The sequence below is a fragment of the Homo sapiens genome, chromosome 6 (assembly GCF_000001405.40).
Source record: "Homo sapiens chromosome 6, GRCh38.p14 Primary Assembly".
Taxonomy (NCBI): domain Eukaryota; kingdom Metazoa; phylum Chordata; class Mammalia; order Primates; family Hominidae; genus Homo; species Homo sapiens.
In genome coordinates, this window is record NC_000006.12 from 14,856,687 (window position 1) to 14,876,610 (window position 19,924).

At 44.0% G+C, this 19,924-nt stretch overlaps 1 long non-coding RNA gene across 1 annotated transcript in view, besides 3 other annotated features; it reads right to left on the minus strand.

Annotated features, from left to right (window-relative positions):
• Positions 967-1,096: an enhancer, noted in NCBI's record as "active region_24057". NCBI's record gives its function as "activates an Ori minimal core promoter by ATAC-STARR-seq in GM12878 lymphoblastoid cells {active_cell/tissue: GM12878}" and the evidence as "EXISTENCE:reporter gene assay evidence [ECO:0000049][PMID:35858748]".
• The window catches only part of LOC105374945 (uncharacterized), a 148,669-nt gene continuing 132,474 nt past the window's right edge, over positions 3,730-19,924 (minus strand). The window contains exons 3-5 of the long non-coding RNA XR_007059473.1: positions 7,649-19,584; positions 4,936-5,031; positions 3,730-4,631 (exon numbers count right to left, since the gene is read on the minus strand). This is a non-coding gene — a long non-coding RNA (uncharacterized LOC105374945). The remainder of the gene's footprint in view (positions 4,632-4,935; positions 5,032-7,648; positions 19,585-19,924) is intronic.
• Positions 19,087-19,156: an enhancer, noted in NCBI's record as "active region_24058". NCBI's record gives its function as "activates an Ori minimal core promoter by ATAC-STARR-seq in GM12878 lymphoblastoid cells {active_cell/tissue: GM12878}" and the evidence as "EXISTENCE:reporter gene assay evidence [ECO:0000049][PMID:35858748]".
• Positions 19,177-19,236: an enhancer, noted in NCBI's record as "active region_24059". NCBI's record gives its function as "activates an Ori minimal core promoter by ATAC-STARR-seq in GM12878 lymphoblastoid cells {active_cell/tissue: GM12878}" and the evidence as "EXISTENCE:reporter gene assay evidence [ECO:0000049][PMID:35858748]".

The following is a 19,924-nucleotide window of genomic DNA, read 5'->3' on the forward strand; positions in this document are numbered from 1 at the left end:
CTGTGATCCCAGCTACTCAGGAGCCTGAAACATGGAAATAGCTTGAACCCAGGAGGCGGAGGCTGCAGTGAGCTGAGATCGCGCCAATGCACTCCAGCTTGGGCAACTGACTGAGACTCCACCTCAAAAAAAAAAAAAAAAAAAAAAAAAGACAAAATACAGTCGCATTCTGAGGAACTGGAGATTAGTTAGGGCTTTAACATATGAATTTGACGGGGGGGGAGGGACAAAATTCAGCTAAGAACCTGCTTTTCCTGAAGCATCACCAGATCAACATTACATACATGTGTGCACACACACGCACACACACATTTTACGTTCTTCTCTGACTTGCTCAGAATTTCCAATTCCAACTACTGTGTCGGGAGCCAGGGAGGGAAGAACTCCATATGTCCTGGCTCGGAACAGTCTCTCTGGGGTAACCCAATGTCTCCCAGTAAGTGCCCAGTTTTGCAGGGCATCTCCTCTCTCTCCAGGACTCAGCCTACCCACTTTCTGTAGGGGTAGAGATAAGCACTGGCATCCTCCCAGCAGTGACAGGAAGGCCTCAGGCCTCGCTCTTGCTCCTTGCTGTGTCCCCTGCCTGCACCTGGGCATCGGCCTCTGTCCTCACTGCTGTTGTTGCTGAAGCACCAAGGCCGGTGTGACTCTGCGTCTCTTCTTTGAGTGGGGCATCACCCACTCATTGCTCCGGGGACCTTAGCCTTCCCGCCCGCTGACCGCCTGGTCCACCTGAGCTCTCCCTGGTCCCACAAGTGCCCCAGGGTCAGGCTTCATCTCCCTATTGATGCCAACTCCAGCAGCCACCTTCTAGCTGCGTATGCAGAAGACTCTGCCCTTCCCCCGGTGAAGTCCCTCAGTGGGCTCACCCAGCCCACACCTCAGCTACCGTCCACATCTCCCACCAAAACACAGTGTGGCATAAGCGTGGAACCACCGCGTAAGGCTCTCTTCACTGACACGTCACATCCTCTTTTCTTCTCTGTGGGGAAGCCCCGCCTCAGCCTCGGGCACCATCACGGGGGTGTGTGTGGGGGGGTCTCCTTTCATTCTCTGAATGTGGAGTGGGAGCACCGCCCCTCAGTGTCAACTTCCTGCAACTTATCTGAGATGTGTTACCCGCATCTCACACGTCCCCCCACCGGCGCCCCCACTTCCACCCCCGCCTTCAGCAAGAGACTGGAACTCTGAGGAAGAAACTAAGAACACACCTATTCCCTTTCTCCTTCTCTCCTCAGTCCTTCCTCTCTCAACTAGAAGGGTTTTCCATGTCCAGCAGTACAGATAATTTCCTTATGTCAGATTCTCTGTTCTGCACATCATGGTGTAAGATAATAACACCCAGTGCTCAGACCTCCAGGGTCTACTTTTCACAGGCAGATGGAAACTTATTGGAATTTGGGAAATACTTTTCTTTCTTAGCAAAGCATGGACTGGAAGATTCTCTCACTTTGCACAAAACAATTCTAACATGAAACCCAAAGCTAAGCCAGGACTCTTTCTTCTGAGCAGCCTCCTCCTTCTCTCCCCCTGAATTGATGGATTCAGCTCCAGGACAACCTGATACAAAAGTACACAAACACACTGTAGCACTAGCAACTGTGAAACAAATATTCCAGTACATGGCAGGGCGCGGGGGCTCACACCTGTAATCCCAGCACTTTGGGAGGCCGAGGCAGGCAGATCACGAGGTCAGGAGTTTCAGACCAGTCTGGCCAACATAGTGAAACCCCGTCTCTACTAAAAATACAAAAAATTAGCTGGGCATGGTGGTGGGCGCCTGTAATTCCAGCTACTTGGGAGGCTGAGGCAGAAGAATCGCTTGAAGCCGTGAGGCGGAGGTTGCAGATAGCGCCACTGCACTCCAGCCCAGGAGACAGTGTGAGACTCCGTCTCAAAAAAAAAAACCAAAAAATAAATAAATATATATATATATATATATATTCCATTACATCCCCCAGAGTAGGTCAATTTGTAAAAGGGCATTTAATTTATCTGGTTAGCACTGTTTTCCTTAGATAGGCAATTGGGGAGGCAATGGAGAAAAATATCAAATGCATTCATTAATAATTCATTGGTAGGAGCCTCTCTCTGGTTCCTAACCAGAAAGCTTTCGTATCCAAAGAGCTAAGGCAATGACAATGACAGCAGTTATCCTCCCAGGAACATGAAGGCACCCACCATCCTTACTGTTTACTTATATATCTCATTTGGGATCTCATCACTAAGGGTTGTGAAAACTAGCAGAAGAAAACCCTCAGAAAACTTTCAGTATAAGAAGATTGAATTGGCTGGTTCCCTGACTCATTACAACAGAACGGAAAACGTGAATTCAAGGCAATATAAATGATGGCTCAGATGGAAACTAGAGTCAGGCTGCTTGGCTGCCTGTCTCGACTCTCCCTCTTCCTTTGTAACTCCAACCAAGTCACTTAATCTCCCTGTGTCTGTTTCCCCATCTATAAAATGGGAGTTATAAAAGGGCCTACCGCATGGTGGTGTTGGGAAACTAACAAGAATTAATTCACATAAAGTGCTAGACCTGTGTTTGACACACAGTAAATAGACTCTTAGTAAATGTTAGGTGTTATTATTACTATCAGGTTGTAGGAAAGTGGTTACTATGAATAATATTAATAGCTAAGACTTATGGAGTGCTTACAATGCTAAGCAATGTTATAAGTTCCTTCCATATGTAACAGCGGCAAAAAATTATTATTATAAAAATATTTTTAAAGCCCTTTTTTCCATCCTCTCTTATGTCTGCTCACCTCCACTTCCACTAGTAAAATTCTGACTTGATTCCCTTGGCATTTTCCCATATCCTCAGCTCACAGGCCTTAATTCACAGACTGGGGAAAAAATACTGTAAGCCTGAGAGGCAAGATTTATATTTGCAATGGGAAGAACCTCTGGCAGAAACAAACAAACAAAAATAGCTCAAAGCAAGCATGGCAGGTGAGCATGAGAAGTCTGCTGTTGGGATGAAGAGTGCACTGAGGAGGGTTTTTCAAGTATGCTCTGTTAGAAGTGAGGGGTGGGCAAGTTGAAGCCAAGAAATTTTCTAAAGCTTAGTATTTCTTAGGCATATGCTGTTGAAATTTTCTTAAGAAACCACAGTAAACACTTGACTTGCTTTCCACTAAGCTTCCTTGTGAATTTGTTCTTTTCTCTGGAAGTGACTTTAAGCTAAGACAGGACCACGTGGGACCTGACTTTATGCAGGTTACACACCCATTCTTTCATTTTATCCTCACCACAGTCCTAGGTGTTGGGAACTATTATTATCCCTCATTTGAAGAGAAAACTTGCCCACAGTCACACAGAAAGTACCGAGCCTGAATGTGAATCTAAGTAGTGTGACTTGGGAACCTGCACACTGACCACTGTGTTAACCCTTTTTGCCTACTTCTTAATAATCCATGCTTCCTAAATTATCCTTAGAAATTATTATCTAAGGAAACTAATGCCACGTTTCCTCCCACGTCATAAAAAGGTCTCCTTTCAATAAAAATAAAAATCAAGCTAAGTGCAAGTGGCACACACCTGTAATCCCAGCTACTGAGGAGGCTGAAGCAGGAGGATACTTGAGCCCAGGAGTTTGAGGCTGTGATGCACGATGATCACGCCTGTGTATAGCCACCGTACTCCAGCCTGGGTAATATATCAAAACCACCATTGCTAAAACAAACACATAAACGAAAAGAAAAATCAAAGTGTATACATTTGTTTGTTGTGAGTATATAACTTTAATAACATTTACGCTGTTTAAAATTCAAAAGGTACAAATACTGTTTATCAAAGTCTCCCACCTAACCTTGTCCCTCCAACCATCTGGTTCTCTTTCCCAGAGGCAAACAATGTTATCAGTTTCAATTATATATTTTCAGATAAAAGCATTACAAGCAAATGCATTTTTGCTCTCTCCTTTTTTAAATGCTAGCATTACATACTCAATATTGTCCACTTTGATTGCTTTCATTTATCAGCATCTTGGAAATCACTTCACGTTGGCATGTAAGAAGCGTCCTCGTTTTTTTTGTATAGCTAAAAAAATTCATTAAGATGCAGCAGCATTTATTTAACAAGTTCCCTAATTGTTGGACAATTAGAATATTCCTAACTTTGCCCTATTATAAATGATATGATGATAAATACCCTTGTACATAATGTCATTTTGCATATGCTAGTATATCCATAATATAAATTCCTAGAAACGGAAGTGCTGGGTCAAAGGCCATGTGCATATGTATTTTTAAATAGATGCTCCCAAATTGCCCTACATGGATTATTTTAAACAAAATACACTCCTACCAGCAATGTATGAGGTAGTGTATTTTCTCACACCCTCTCCAACACAGTGGATTACTAAACTTTTTGGTCTTTGCCCATCTGATAGATGAAAATGGAAAATCCATTACTTGTCTTTCTCAGGATATGTGAGTTTGAACTATAGCTTGCTGTCCACAAACCTCTTTATTCGTTCATTTCAATAGTACAAGGCATTTAGCACATACAAGGCTCAGTCCTAGGCACCCCTTTGCCCTATAAAGCAGAAACTTTCTCTGAAATCATATGTGGCTTAAGATTCCTTCCGATGGCTGGGATTTGAGTAACTCCTGATCTCTTCACTGTGGAATAAGAGAATAGTTATTGGGGTTTTAGAAGAACAAATAACACTCCTGTCCCCATTCTCTTCCCAGCCCCCACCCAGCTTCAAGTGGGACCAATTAAAAGACTCAGAATCAGACAGATGGAGATCAAAATATCTGCTTTATTTCTGATAAAGCCGATTGGAGTCTGAAGCTTAGAGCTGGAAACAGATGGGTTTTCTAATATCTGCCCCCACCACAAAAGGAAACCATGATTAAACCCACATACCAGTCACAGCAGGCCTAGTCAAATGCAAGCTCCTCTGAAGCCAGGGCCACTTACCGTAGGGCCGCAGAGGGGACTTGGTTTCCTGAGGACAGCCACACTCAGCAGGAACTTGCAGGAGGGAACCCTCAGTCCACCCAACCAGAGCAGCCACTGGGGAGGTGGAGACAAAAGGCCAGTAATGTCCCTCCCCAATAGCTTTCCCCTCCCCAAGCAAGGAGGCTCTCATCCCTCTAAGCAAATGTAAGGAGAGGGAGATAAGAAGGTTCTACTGGGCTGGGCGCGGTGGCTGTAATCACAGCACTTTGGGAGGCTGAAGTGTGCAGATCACTTGAGGTCAGGAGTTTGAGACCAGCCTGGCCAATGTGGTGAAACCCCATCTCTACTAAAACACAAAAAATTAGCCAGGTGTGGTGGTGGGCACCTGTAATCCCAGCTACTTGGGAGACTGAGTCAGGAGAATCACTTGAACCCAAGAGGCGGAGGTTGCAGTGAGCCGAGATTGTGCCATTGCACTCCAGCCTGGGCAACAAGAGCAAAACTCTATTTCAAAACAAAAAAAAAGAATGCTCCACTGAGGTCTACCTTTGAAGGATAAAGTTATAAAGAAAATGGGACCTTTCTGGAAGGAAAAAAAATGTTAATCTAAGAAGAATAAAGCATTTATTTATTCATAAGCTTCCACCGTATCTGTACAAAACTCTAGGAAATAGAAGTATCATAATTGATTTAACCATTCCACAACTGTTGGGCAAATATATTTTAAGAGTTATCATTTAAATAATTCTACAAGGAACATCTTTATTTTGTTCTAATATGTTGGATGATTTTCTAGGAAGCATTCTCAGAAGTGGAATTATTGAATTAAACAATAGGAATATATTTATTTATTTACTCATTTATTTTTCTAGATGGGGTCTCACTTTGTAGCCCAGGCTCCAGCACAGTGGTACAATCATGGCTCACTGCAGCCTTGACCTCCTGGGCTCAAGTGATCCTCCCACCTCAGCCTTCCGAGTAGCTGAAACTACAGGTGTGCGCCACCATGTCTGGCTAGTTGTTATGGTTTCTTTTTTTTAGAGATGGGGTCTTGCTATGTTGCCCAGGCAGGTCTCAAATTCCTGAGCTCAAGCAACCAGCCTTGGCCTCCCAAAGTGCTGGAATTACAGGCATGAGCCACCAAGCCCGGCCAATACTTTTATTTAAAAAAAAAAAAAAAGAATGTATTTATTCATTCATTCAATAAACAGAGATTAAGGATTTACTTCATGCCAGGCTCTGTGCTAGGATCTGGATGAATAAAACTCAGATCTCTCCTTGCATAGAATTGATATTGTAGAGGAGAGATAACCACATTAAATAAGCTGTCCTTAAGCTCTAACCGAACCTTGGAGAAAGGGCAGAGAAGGCTTTGCAGGGAGGGGGCCTTAAGTGCTGCTAGGAAGGATGAGCGGGGCAGGGCAGTGGGTCCCCTTGTGCATAATGCTATTTTGCAGACAGGGTTCGCAGGCAGGGCATGAGAGGAAAACCAGATTGAGGGAAAAATCAGGTGCAAAAGTAGGAAAGGGAGCCAGGCTGTTGTTTGGGGCATGGGAAATATTTCTGTGTGGATGGAGAACTGTGCAAAAGGGAGGAAGGAGCACAGGTAATGTGAGATGAGGCTGGGAAGATATTCTGAGCCAGATGAGAAGCTTGATCCTTAGGCCACGACTTGGGGTGCTTGAGTGCTTTTTCAGCAAAATTGACATGATCCGATTGGCTTCAGAAAGATCATCCTGGCAGGAAATGAGGAGGATAGATTGGAAAAACAGAAACAGAGAGGAATTGAAGGCAAGAGTTAGCATGCTGTCCCAGGAGAAAGCAGTGACCCAGGAGACGACACAAAATTAGCACCAGGGAAAAGAAAAGCTAAGAGATGCAACAGACTTTTTTTTTTTTTTTGACACGGAGTTTCGTTCTTGCGGCCCAGGCTGGAGTGCACTGGCTCGATCTCGGCTTGCTGCAACCTTCGCCTCCCAGGCTTAAGAGATTCTCCTGCCTCAGCCTCCAGAATAGCTGGAATTACAGGCCTGTACCACCACGTCCGGCTCATTTTGTATTTTTAGTAGAGAAGGGGTTTCACCATGTTGGTCTGGCTGGTCTCGAACTCCTGACCTCAGGTGATCCACCCGCCTTGGCCTCCCAAAGTGCTGAGACTACAGGTGTGAGCCACTGTGCCCGGCATCAACAGACATTTTGCAGGTAGAATGAATGGTCCAGGAACAGTGATTGACTAGACATGGGGGGTGAGTGAGAGGTAGGCAAGGGCAAACGGTGTTCTGTCTGACAGTGGGGTTAAAACTGAGACTGCAAAGAAAACGGCAGGCAGACTTGGAGGGAGAAGAAAATGAATTCAGTTTGGGGCATGTTGTGATAGAGGTGCCTAAGAGATACCTAGTAGGATGTGTCCAGCAGGTGCCTGGAAGTAAGAGTGTGAGCTCCGGAGATAAGTCAGGGTGCAATCGGCTTGGTGGTTATCGGGATAGGACTGTAGGGGCAGTCTTGGGTATACTGTAAACACAGTCTGCTGAGAAAGCAATGAACCATTGCAGAGAAACGGAATGGTGCAGGAGAGCCAAACAGGCAATGAGTATCTGGAACAAAGATGAGCACAAGGCAGGAAATTTCAGCGGTGGGGGTGAGAGGGTGTGGGAGCTGAGGAAGAGGAAGAACCCTTCAGCTAACCATGGATGGGATAAAATTCTCCCCGCTCCTCAATGCCATACTGCACCTTTAGAATGTCTAGGCAGTCTTCTCCCCCACGCTTGCTTGTCCTGTGATATTCACCTCCTCTGCAACTGACAATCACTCAGGAGAGAGCTCCAGCTTCCTCCTGCTTATGTCTCTGGAAGAAATTTCTCCTCCTTTGCCATAGAAAGAGGAGCAAGAGAGCAGGATATGTGTTTGGGAACACACTTTCCCCCAAAACTTACAAAAAGCTCCGCATTTACCAGCATCAGAGGGAAATCTAATCTGTTTGTCTACGGGTTTCTCTCCTCCTCTATCTATCAGTGACCCCTGCCAGGATCCTTCTAGCCCACGCCATCTGCTCCCGTCAACAACCTGGCCACCCTCTATGCTCACCTTTCTTTAGCCATCAGATCTTGGCATAAGCTAATCCACATGCCTGGAACATCCTCGTTCCTTTCCATAAAATTTCAATTGATTTCTTCAAAATCATGCTTATGTCTTACCCAGTCTCTGATGTTTTCCTTCATTCTCCGAGTATGAACACAACACATGGCTCACATCCACCGTCCGTCGACAATAGATACATTATCTCTTTTTTTTAAAATAGAAATCATGTCGTTTTTCATAATTATTCAGAAAAATAAGCAGATTTTTCTAGAAAACTATCTGCCTGTAAGCATCAATATTTTCTTTAATTCATTCAACTGACCAATATTTATGGAGCATTGACTTGTTATGTCACATGACAGAGAATATTAAAAAATGAAAGTCAATAGAGAGAAAGCATTCATTACATGGGCCAAGAAACTAACTTGGGCCTCCTTTAGGGGGTACAGAACTTATATGTGAACAACTCCCACTGCTTTGCTTGATAGATCTGGCTAAAGTAGATTAGCCCCTCCTTTGTCTTCTATCCTGTACAGAAAGGAATTAACAAAGTCTAAAATATTGTGTTGGACTCGACGGCATCATTTTGGACATTCTGGCTTAAAATAATTGCTCTTTCCCCCACCCCGTTTTTTTAAAAAAATGAGAAAAGCCATATGTTTCTTGTGAAAAGTTGGGAAAAAATATTTCTAATCGCCATGGTCACACCGTCCAAAAAGCAACCACCGCTAACATTTGTGTATCTCTTTCCAGGCTTTTACCCAGCCATTTTTAGGGAGTTATGCCTTAATAAAAATGTATTACATTGAACATAAAATGTTATAGCTTGCTCTTTTACAAGTTAATATGATAGTATAAACATTTTTTTAGTGAGCATTCTTTGTGGAACAATGTCTCTGTGCCAGGGTGAGCTGGGACATTTTTCTTTCCGTCTGCCTCCCCATCCTCCACCACATCTCTATAATCAAGGGAGAAATCCTGGGCCCCCACTCTTCCCTCACTTCTCCGGCCCCTCCCGCCCCATGCAGGGGAGCAGAGGAGCTTACATCATCCTCTGCTGTGACCACAGCAGCTTGAAAGAGCTAAAAAGTGGTAGATCCTTAGCAAATGACTGAGGCTGTGAAATTTTTAGGGCTGAAGAATGGATGAAGGGACAAGAACACCCTTATTTCTATAGAAAGGAGTTCAAGGGAGCAGAGTGTGGCAACAGGAAGTTCTAGACACTGAAACAGGAAGAAATGAAAGAAGTTGTGAAAAGAAACGTCCACTGATGTGGGGGGGCATTGATGTGTAATATCCTCTGACTAGTGAGGGGTGTCCATTTCCCTCCCTGGTCACATGCAAAAGGTGGCAAGAGCCTCTTGTAGCCCACGCTGTACAAGGTGAAAAGGAGCACCTCTCTGAAGGCTATAACCCAAAGGAAGACAACTATACTATGCTCCATCTCAAAGGCCCACAAGTTCCCACTTTCCATTTCCAGAGAATCCTTGGAGACAGATTCTGTGCGACAGAAAAGGGGCCTTTGGTGTGGGTTATATTTGTAATGCAGTGATACCTCCCAGGACTCCCAGTGACTGGGGAGGAAAGCACATCCCTCCTGCCTGTTCGGGGCATTGTTTCACCTTCATGCACCTAAGGAAGGTACAGGCTGCTTTTTGGAAGGGTGAAAGGTGGCCAGGTGCAGTGGCTCAGGCCTGTAATCCCAGCACTTTGGGAGGCCGAGACAGGCAGATCACCTGAGGTCAGGAGTTCAAGACCAGCCTGGCCAACATGGTGAAACCCCATCTCTACTAAAAATACAAAAATTAACCGGGCGTGATGATGCATGCCTGTAATCCCAGCTACCCAGGAGGCTGAGGCAGGAGAATCAATTGAATCTGGGAGGCAGAGGTTGCAGTAAGCCAAGATCACTCCTGCACTCCAGCCTGGGTGACAGAGCAGGACTCCATCTCAAAAAAAAAAAAAAAAAGAAAAAAAGAAAAAAAGAAAGGTGAAGAGTACTTGCCCTGACACAAAATGGCAATGGCTGTAGAATACTACAAAATGGCCACAGAATACTACACAGTGAAACATCTGCTTGTTCATCCTTAACGTCCAATGCAATAACTCCCTATCTTGTCTGTGCATTGGATCACCTGAGTAGCTTCCAAAACTACCGATGCCTGTGTGTCCTCCATTACCCACCCAACCCCCAGCTCACCCCACCTCCCCACCTCCCCCCACTCCCATGTCCAGGGATTATTATTTAATCCATTTTGTGAGTGGCCTGAGTTTAAAAATTAATGAAAGATATCCGGAGGATGCTAAAGCATGTCTGAAAAGTGTGGGAACCATTGCTTTAATGTGAGGTCCTCAGAAATTACTTCTCCTTGTAGGCAGTCTATTGCCATTGCCTGGGCCAGCTCCTTCTAGGCAGTCTATTGCCATTGCCTGGGCCAGCTCACCTCCACAACGTTAATCTGGTATGTTCTGGAAAAGCTTTCTAGAATATATCCAAAATAAGAGGAAATGAATTCAGAACAATGCAAGCAAAGTTTTTGAACTGTAGAATCCTAATTTTTTTTTTTTTTAATAAACTGTGTCTGCTCTGAGATCTCAGCTTTTTTCTGGATAGCTGAGCTGATTGAATAAGTGAACACCAGATAAGTGGAGTTTCATGTTTATACCTGTGATGGATCATGTGTTTATAATGCATATGCTTCTAGATATTTAGCCTAAAATTGATGCATTCAAACAAGAGTGTTTTTCCCTCTTCCTCTCTAACCTTCACCCAAATGGAGAGTTTAAGCCACTCGAGAGCAGGCATCATATCTTGAATCTGTCACCATGTGACATCTTAAAGAGAAACTTTACATCCAGTGAGTTCCCAGTAAATGTTCAGAGTGTTCTTAACACTCTTGACCTAGCTAATGGGTCAAGAAGCAGCCACAGCTCCTATGTGGCAAGGCACTGCTTATGGAAGCAGGGCCTGGGGTCCTTCTTGGAGATACCAAGTGAAATCTCTTCCCAATTAAATTGTTTCAGATGAGGACTATCACCTGTTCCCCGGGGAGTGCCCTATTAGAGACCTAAAAGCAATGAGTTCATCGCTCAACAGTCATTTAGATGAGAAAACAATTATTTTCATCACTCTAAGCAGGAAGCTGCCCAGAGCCAGAACAGGTTCTCTGAGCATCCTTGAGAGACCTGGACCAGGGAGAGAGCTGGTCCTCACGGCTCCTGGCTGATGCAATCTGAGGACATTCCCCAGAAGACATACTCCTCACTTCTCAGTTTAAGAAAATAAATTAGAAGTTAAGAAAGCATCATCCTACTTTGACTTTAGAGACAGAAGACAGATCCAGCTCATGATACCTCAGTTCAGCATGTGGCAAAGGGCAGAGGCCCTGAGCTCATAGGTCCCACCATGGGGGAAGGAAATTCTGTTGGTACCACTGCCACAGCACACAAGGAAAACCAAAGCATTCTTGCCCACTGCCTTGTCTTTTTTTTTTAACCTTCTTTAAAAGCCTTTTTTCTCTTCTATCAGAGTCCTTCACAGTGACGTATTTAATGAACAGAACACAGAATCCAGTCTCGATGGGTTTCACATCGGTGTGCTACAAGGGATCCCCCAAAACTCTTTATCAAGAAATAACTTGGCTGGGCAAGGGGGCTCACGCCTGTAAACCCAGCACTTTGGGAGGCTGAGGTGGGCAGACCACCTGAGGTCAGTAGTTTGAGACTAGCCTGATCAACATGGAGAAACCCCATCTCTACTAAAAATACAAAATTAGCCGGGCATGGTGGCGCATGCCTGTAATCCCAGCTACTCAGGAGGCTGAGGCAGGAGAATCGCTTGAACCCGGGAGGTGGAGATTGCAGTGATTCGAGATCACGCCACTGCACTCCAGCCTGGGCAACAAGAGCAAAGCTTCGTCTCAAAAAAGAAAAAGAAAGAACTTAAAATGAACATTTAATGCATGTGCATTCATTTTGATCTTAAGTGAAATATATCATTGACACAGTTGGAGAGATAGATAAGTTGATGGGAGAGAGAATTGTATTAAAAAAGGAACCAATAACAGGGTATTACAAGACTCCAGAGAATCACAAGTGTGGTGGCATCATGACACAAATTGCGCCTGTGGCCACCTTCTGTGTGTAGATGGTTCTGAGAGTCTTTTTTGTAGAAAGCAGCAGTCCTCTGGCCATTTTCCTTCCTGACCCCACTGTCCCCTAAGTCCTTTCTTACTGTGGCATTAGAGACCACTGTGTCCTCTGAATGTCCTTGATGTCCAGGACACTGCCCTCTCCAGGGCGTCTCCCCAGCTCCTTGGATGCTTCTCCCCTGTCCTGCTCAGGGCTGCATCATGCCCCAGTGCTGGGCTCCCCAGGCTCTGCCCTTGGCCCTTTTCTCAGACACCCTCCCCAGGGACCTCATACACTTCCATCGTGTCAACTGTTCTCTGGCAAGTGATGGTTTCCAGGTGTATTTCTCTCGCCCAGGTCCACATCCCGTTGTTTCCTGGACACAGACTGGCCATCGTAGAGATTCCTCAGACTTAACATGTACAAAACAAAATGCACCATCCTGGCCCCTAAATCTCCCTTACGTTCCGTGTCTTGCAACTATCATCTACCCTTTCAGCCAAGCCATAAACGAGTCCCTCCTCAAATCCTTCAACTCACTCCCTACATTCAAGATGGCTATTCCCAAGTTCCAGGCAGAAAGAAAGAGAAAGAGGGAAGATGCAATTAAGGCACCTCCAGCTGAGTAAGCCCCCATTAAAAGTTTTCCGGAAGCCCAGCCTGTCATTTAGGCCATATCTCATTAGCCCCCTTGCAACGGTGTCTGGAAGACTTAGGTTTTTGACTGGGCCCTTTATTCCCCCCAATAACACATGTCTATCCACAAAGAGAAAGGAGCCACCAAATGCCATTCTAGTGGCTATCAGAAAGGCAAGATAGAAATCAGGGGCACCCATTCTACTTTCTTAATAACTTTCAAGTTCATCTCCTAACGTACTTGGTTCAGGCCATCATTATTTTTCCGATGGGTTACTTCAATCACCTCTTTATCAAACATCTTGTCCATCACCTGTGCCCCTCAGCTGTTCTCCATACTGCTGCTCCATTCTGCCATCATTATATTTTGTAAATGTGAAAATGGTCTGGCCAGTCCTTGCATAAAATCTTTCAGAGGTTTTCCTTTCACCTTCAAGAAAAAGCCCAAACTGCTTTGCAAGGCTTTGAGCCCTTCCTGATCTGGCTCAAAAGCACTTCTGAGCCTTCTCTCTCCTCTCCTCTCCCCTCTCCTCTCCCAAGCTCCAGGTACTCTGATCACTCTTGTATCCCAGAACATCCCAGTCCTCTCAATGCCACCCCATCTTCATAAGTGCTGTCTCTCTGTCTGCAATGCAGACATTTTCATGTGTAATCAACGATTTAAGATTCAAGGAAGTGCCCCACAGCAAGACCACCTGTTCATAGAGTGAAAAATAGTCAGCAAAATATGTTCTTTGTTACACATGTATAAATATCACTCTTTAAAACACAACAGGCCTGCCTCCTCTGTCTCCAGAAATAACCTCAAGATACATATTGTGGGAGATCAAAATATGCCACCCCAGACTATGAAGCATTGTTGTGCTGAAGGCAATTTAAAAGCTGATACAGGAAATTTCTCTGCTCTCTCTGTATTTACCAAAATGCAAAAGATATACTGCCTACCAGGGAGAAGACAACTTTGGGCCCTTATTGGCCTGGAGAGGAATCTACATTAACAAGCTTTACTAGTGAGCCTTTATCTGACAGTTATTTGCCCTCCTCCAAGTTGCCACCAGCCTCTAGAGACTCAAAGTTCTTTTCCTTTGTCTTGTTTTTAAAATTTTACTGTTCATTGTTAAACTTGCTATACAAGCTGGAATCCAAAGCCACCTATTTGAGAGGCTCATTTTCTGGGTATGTGAAATACACGTTAATAAACTGTTTTTCAATTGTTAATCTGTCTTTTGTAACAGGGGTCCATTCCAACTAAGAAGTTATGAAGATTGGAGAAAAAAATGATTTTTCTTCCCCTACACTATCAAGGAAGAAAGAAAGGTGTGTGAGACTTTTACCCATCACTTCCTCAATAGTCTAATTAGTCCTATGAGCCCAAACTTCCACATGTCTAATAAAAGAAGAGAGAAAATACAACCTCTCACTTGAGAAGTCCACCTTGTCAGCCGAGGCACCCCTAGTTAGATGAAAGCAGACCAAGGAAAAAGTGAAGAATGATGAAATAAAAAGTGAATAATGATGAAAGAGAAGCGGTACCCTAGTTACATATCATCTCCTGCAAAATGTATTCACCAGCCTAGATTCAAACCTGACACATGGGGCTGGTGGGCAAGAACAGAGAGAACCAAGAAAAAACAAGAGGAGAGCTGAAGCTGAGGTGACGGTGCTCTTCCTAGTTTTTTCCAAATGAAGCAGCTAACCTGCAAACACAATTTAAAAAAAAATCAGAGTTACCGCTGGGTAGACACAGATGAAGGTAACATAAGGTGATGTGTTTATAATGCCCTGAGCACAGATCCTCTGGCTATTTGGAGACCCCTGTGCAAAAAGATACCCTGAGTCTCTTTTGCCATCTGTCGACTGGCTCCTTCCTGGGAGCCTTCCCTGGGCCTTGTTCATGCCACTTCAATGTTGTCCTCTTCACTCTAAATAAATGCAACTGGCAGGGAGCTGGCCTATCACCCCACCTGGTACTAACACTTGGCTGCGTGTTTCAGCACACGCGTCACCAGGAATGAGGCTGGTAAATGAGTCAAGTGTCGTAGAGAGAGAAATATAATAATCACCAAGGCTGTCCAATGAATGAAACTGCTAAGAACACACATCAGCTGTCTGTCAATTTATGTTACTGTTGCTCTGCAGGAAAATTCTTTTTAGAGATGTTAGCAGGAAAAAAAGAAAAAACTAAGCCTTTGGGGATCTTGGTTTTCCAGTGACACTTCCCCTTGACCAACTACTGATTCTTCACTCCATACCTTTAAAAGACAAAAAAAAAAAAAAAAATCCATAGTTTAGGCACAAGTTGTTAAAGAGCAATATAAGACAGGTCGGGAAAATCCTAAAATTCTTCTCCACTGCAACCCAAAGCAATTTTTTGTGAGAAAGATTGGTTACATTATGAAAGGAAAATAAAATAAAGATTTGAAGAAAAAGGAGGTTGAGTCACAAAAAGCGCCAGCACCTTAACCGTCCTTGATATTTGCACAGCCTTTGCAATCATGCATGGCAGTAGTCATCTGGAGTACGTAAGAAACTGGCCATCAAGACCACAATACTTTGAAAAATCTGGGATAAGGGTTATCCTCAAAACACCGCCGAGCAGAGCTCACAGATATGTGGGTGCAGCCCCAGAACTGCCCATCCCTTTGTACAATTATTAAGGCCCAGTGATAGCTTGAAGTTGGCCAGCTTCAATTGGCCAAAGGTACTGGCTGTGTTATTGGCTTTCCATGCCTCTTTTCTTCTTATCACCTTTAGTTCTCCAATGTTCCTGGATAAATAACATCACAGAGAAGTCCAGCATCTTTGAGAGCACTAGTGGGCTATTGCATTCTAGGGGAAAAAATATTTCTTTTGTCACCCTTCACTGGGTTCATGACTGAGGCCCCTGTACCAAAAGACAGATGAACAAAAGAAAAGCAAACAAATGTATGTATAGGTTTTACATGACATGGGAGCCTTCATAAGGAAAGGAAGATCCAAAGAAGCAAGGAAACCTGGTATTTATGATGCTAGGTTTGAGGAAGAAATGGACAGTTATGGAGAAGTGTGATTGAACAAAGGGGGTCTGACCTCATGGTAATAACTGTGGGGAAGTTAGGAAGGCCTGTTTGTTCAGATTCTTCCTGTGCCCGTCTTCAGAGATAGGGACATTCCCTTCCTCCAGGTACAAGGAGGGCACCTCTCAAATAACGAGGGTCTTATGACCTGCTTAGGTGAAGGTCAGAGAATCCGTCACAGGTTTTAGGACCTGCTTCAGGGGAGAAGGGCAGTGGGGAAGGTGAGAGTGACTTTCCTGCTTCTGCTGTTTTCTCAAATGGAAAGGTACCATGTTTTGTGGTAGTGTGTCCTGAGCCTCAGCATTATCTAGCACACAACTGGCTCATTTGACATCTCTTTAATTGTAATGATACGTTTATGCCTACAAAGGTAACTCTTCAGTCCATTGTTATTTGCTTGGAGGCTTTTTGCTTAGTAGTAAGGATTTGGATCCATCTTCATTAATCTTTGGATATGCCAAGGCCGTGCATGAAACTACAATAAAGAGAACTTGGAGTAAGTTACACGGCAGTCAGTGGTAGAGTTAATTATGCATGCAGCTAACAACAATTTTGGAACAAAACCAGGTATAAATCAATAAAATACAATAGATCTTGAATTTTTCCCTCTTCTGCAAGCTATTCTCTGCTGCTTAGAGAGGAAGTTTTCTTGAAGTTCTCTAGAGATTGCATGTATTTGGGAGAAAAATACGAAGACAGAGAAAAGCTGTTACTTAACTTTCAAGTTTCTTAACTTTCAAGTTTCAGTTTTGTGTCTCACACACTTTTAACCCAATAAAGGTGAATGAGATGAATGCTACCATGCTGGGGTCCTTCCTGTGTCTGTTTGGAAGCTGAGGCACCTGTCGAGGCACCTGTGGAAGGCCACTGTCTCTTGATTCCTAGCTTAAAGCAGGCAGCCCAGTGGTGAGTGAAAGGCAGTGTAGGGGAAGACTAGACCCCATAGGTTCTTGGTTGGAAAGGACCCCTGTTACAAAAGACAAGAGAAAACAAGAGAAAAACAAACAGAAGTTTATTACCATGTATATGTCACATATTACCATGTATATTTCATATATACCCAGAAAATGAGTAATTCTCAAAGAGGTGGCTTTGAATTCCAGCTTATATAGCATTTTCAACAACAAATAGTAAACTTTTTTTTTTCTTTTTTGAGACAGGGTCTTGCTCTGTCACTCAGGCTGAAGTACAGAGACACAATCATAGCTCACTGCTGTCCCAACCTGCTGGACTCAAGTGATCCTCTCTCTTCAGCCTCCTGAGTAGCTGAGGCTACTGGCATGCACCCACCCTGATAGGTGTTTTTTATTTTTTAGGGATGGGGTCTTGCTATATTGCACAGGCCAGTCTTGAACCCTGGGCTCAGGCAATCCCTCCACCTCAGCCTCCTGAGTAATTGGGACTACAGGTGTGAACCACGATGCCTGCCTAATTTTTTTTTTTTTTTGAGACAGGGTCTTGCTATGTTGCCCAGGATAGTCTCAAACTCCTGATTTGAAGCCATACTCTCACCTCAGCCTCCCAAACTGTTGGGATTACACACATGAGCCATCGTGCTGGCTATGAAATTTGTAAAAAAGTGGCAAGACAAAAGCAAAGGATTTTGAATCTTTATGGGTGGTAACTTGGAGGGGGGCAAATAACTATCAGTCAAAGGCTCATTTGTAAAGCTTGTTAATGTAGATTCCTCTGGTTCCATCTCCAGGCCAATAAGAGTACAAAGTTGCCTTCAGTGGTTAACCTTTGTTCTCTCCGGGAGGAGGGGTGGCCAGGGTACCTTTTGTCTTTGTAAATCTATGTCCTGCTTTTAGGTAACCAGAGGGGAAGATGAGAGCTTTCCTGCATTTGCTTCTTACTGCCTTCAGCTCAACAACCCTTCAGATATTGGAGAAGCATAATCCAGTCCCCCCCAGCAGCTAACTGGAAGCAGAGAAAATGCCTTGAATCATAATTTTTCTCCCTTTTCCCTACTCAGTGGCAAGCAACTGACCATTCTCTTAATCTCTGTGTCTCTCAGAAAGGTAATAATCTGCTCACTAAAACCTGTGGTTTTAGCTGCTGCTTTAAAGCAAATATTTCATGGATAAAGGAAAAATGAGGAATTATGTTCACCACACATCGTCCTTGATTTTTCTCTGAAATTATGGGAAGGAGAGCAGATATGGCATCACATCTACATCATTCAAGAACTTTACGTATCTATTTGTTTTCTAGTATGAGCTGCGCAAACTTCCCCAGAGAGCCACTTATTAATACTCCATTCGCCACAGAGAATACAAGCAAAGCAGGCCAAAGTTGCCATGTCTGATGCAACTTCTTTTAGGGTTGAACCAAGCGCTGATACCTCCAGGAGTCTCACAGTTCAAGCCACTGAAGAGGGCCCAGTGAGGAGAAAGCCCTTCCTTTTTGCCGCCAGCCTTGTATCTTTCCTTTGAAATCCCTAGGCCTTTCTTTCACTTGGCTGGCTGCTACTCATCACACTTAAATTAGAAAACCAAAGGAGAAGGGAGGGTATGGAACTTTTGTGCAGAAGGACCTACAACACTTGGGGGACAGATGGATGTTGGAAGAAAATAATCACATGCCTTTTTTTTTTTTCTTGAAATTGGGTCTCGCTCAGCTGCCCAGGCTGGAGTGCAGTGGTGCCATCATGGCTCACTGCAGCCTTGACCTCCAAGGTACAGGTGATCCTCCCTGAGTAGCTGGGTCTATAGGCGTGCACCACCACACCCAGCTAATTTTTGCATGTTTCATTAAGATGGAGTTTTGCCATGTTGCCCAGGCTGGTCTGGAACTTCTGGGCTTAAGCAATCCACTCTCCTCTGCCTCCCAAAGTGCTGGGAAGACAGATGTAAGCCTCCACACCCGGCTCACCTGCCCTCTTAAGCATGCATTTCTGAAGTTTGCAATTCTACCTCTGCGTCATTCCATCTGTTTGAGGCACTTTCTTTGAGTGGGGGCTGTAGAGGATGGGGAAAGAAGACTCAGGGACCATACCCAGGGATGGTAGTCTTAGCTCTTTGGAAATCGCCAGAGCTGATTTGCTGACTTGCACAATCCAAAGAGAAGCGTTTGATGATTTGTATCCCCATCTCCTCTGACATGACTATGGGAAGTTACATAAAGACTTCTGAGATGACGGTGCTACCAATGTTTTCCACAAAAGCACTGGGTTTGGCCATAGTTATGCTGATAAAAAGGCTGAGACATGGAGAAATATCACCACTGTACAAAAGGTCATTTTATCCTTGACGTCCCCAGGCTTCCCAGTGAGAAAGAACAGCAGTAATCATTCATATTGAGTCTCGTTTTTACTCAGCTACATCTTACCAGGCCTTCTTGAAACTGACGTGGACTCTCAGCATGGAAAGTTCCAGACTTAGGGTTTGTTTTCAAAAGAAACCAGATCTGCAGGCTAAGTAATGAAGTGTTAGGCCACAAAATACATTACCTCCCAGGAAAGCCCCTTAAACTCAGGCAAAATTCTCTCTTTATTTACTCACAGTATTTCACCAGAACTTGAAATTGTTAAAAAGTCTCTAACCAATGACACCACAGGAATGGCCCTTGGACAAGTTCTTGGTCAACCTCTGACAAACAACAGGGTGGACAGAAAAGAAAAAAAATGCACAAACCTATTTGCCAGGCCAGGTGAATGATGAGGTTTTTGTTGTTGTTGTTTCCATGTATTTGGCAGATGGTTACACCGTCATTTCTCTTCCTTTTAAAAGCTAATTCCAAATTTTCCTCTCTAGCATCCTATCACCTGAGGAAGCATGAAGACTTCAGGTGGGGGAGGAATTCAGCACCGATCGATTTTCCTTTCCAATTGGTTTTTTTAATGCAATTGATAATAACCAAAGACTTAAAAAGCCAAAAAGAAACTAATTTCAAAATGATCTCATCTTTCCACCTTGAAGACATATCACTTAATTGGAGACTCTCAAACAGAACCACACATCTGTTAACATTCCTGCATTTCCTCTATTGATTACCACAGGTCATTCCATTAATAGGAAATGGGCGAGCCAGGATATCACACTTTAATTTTTATATCATAATAGCTTGAGGATTAAGAGGAGGCCCATTTAGGAAAGGAATCACCC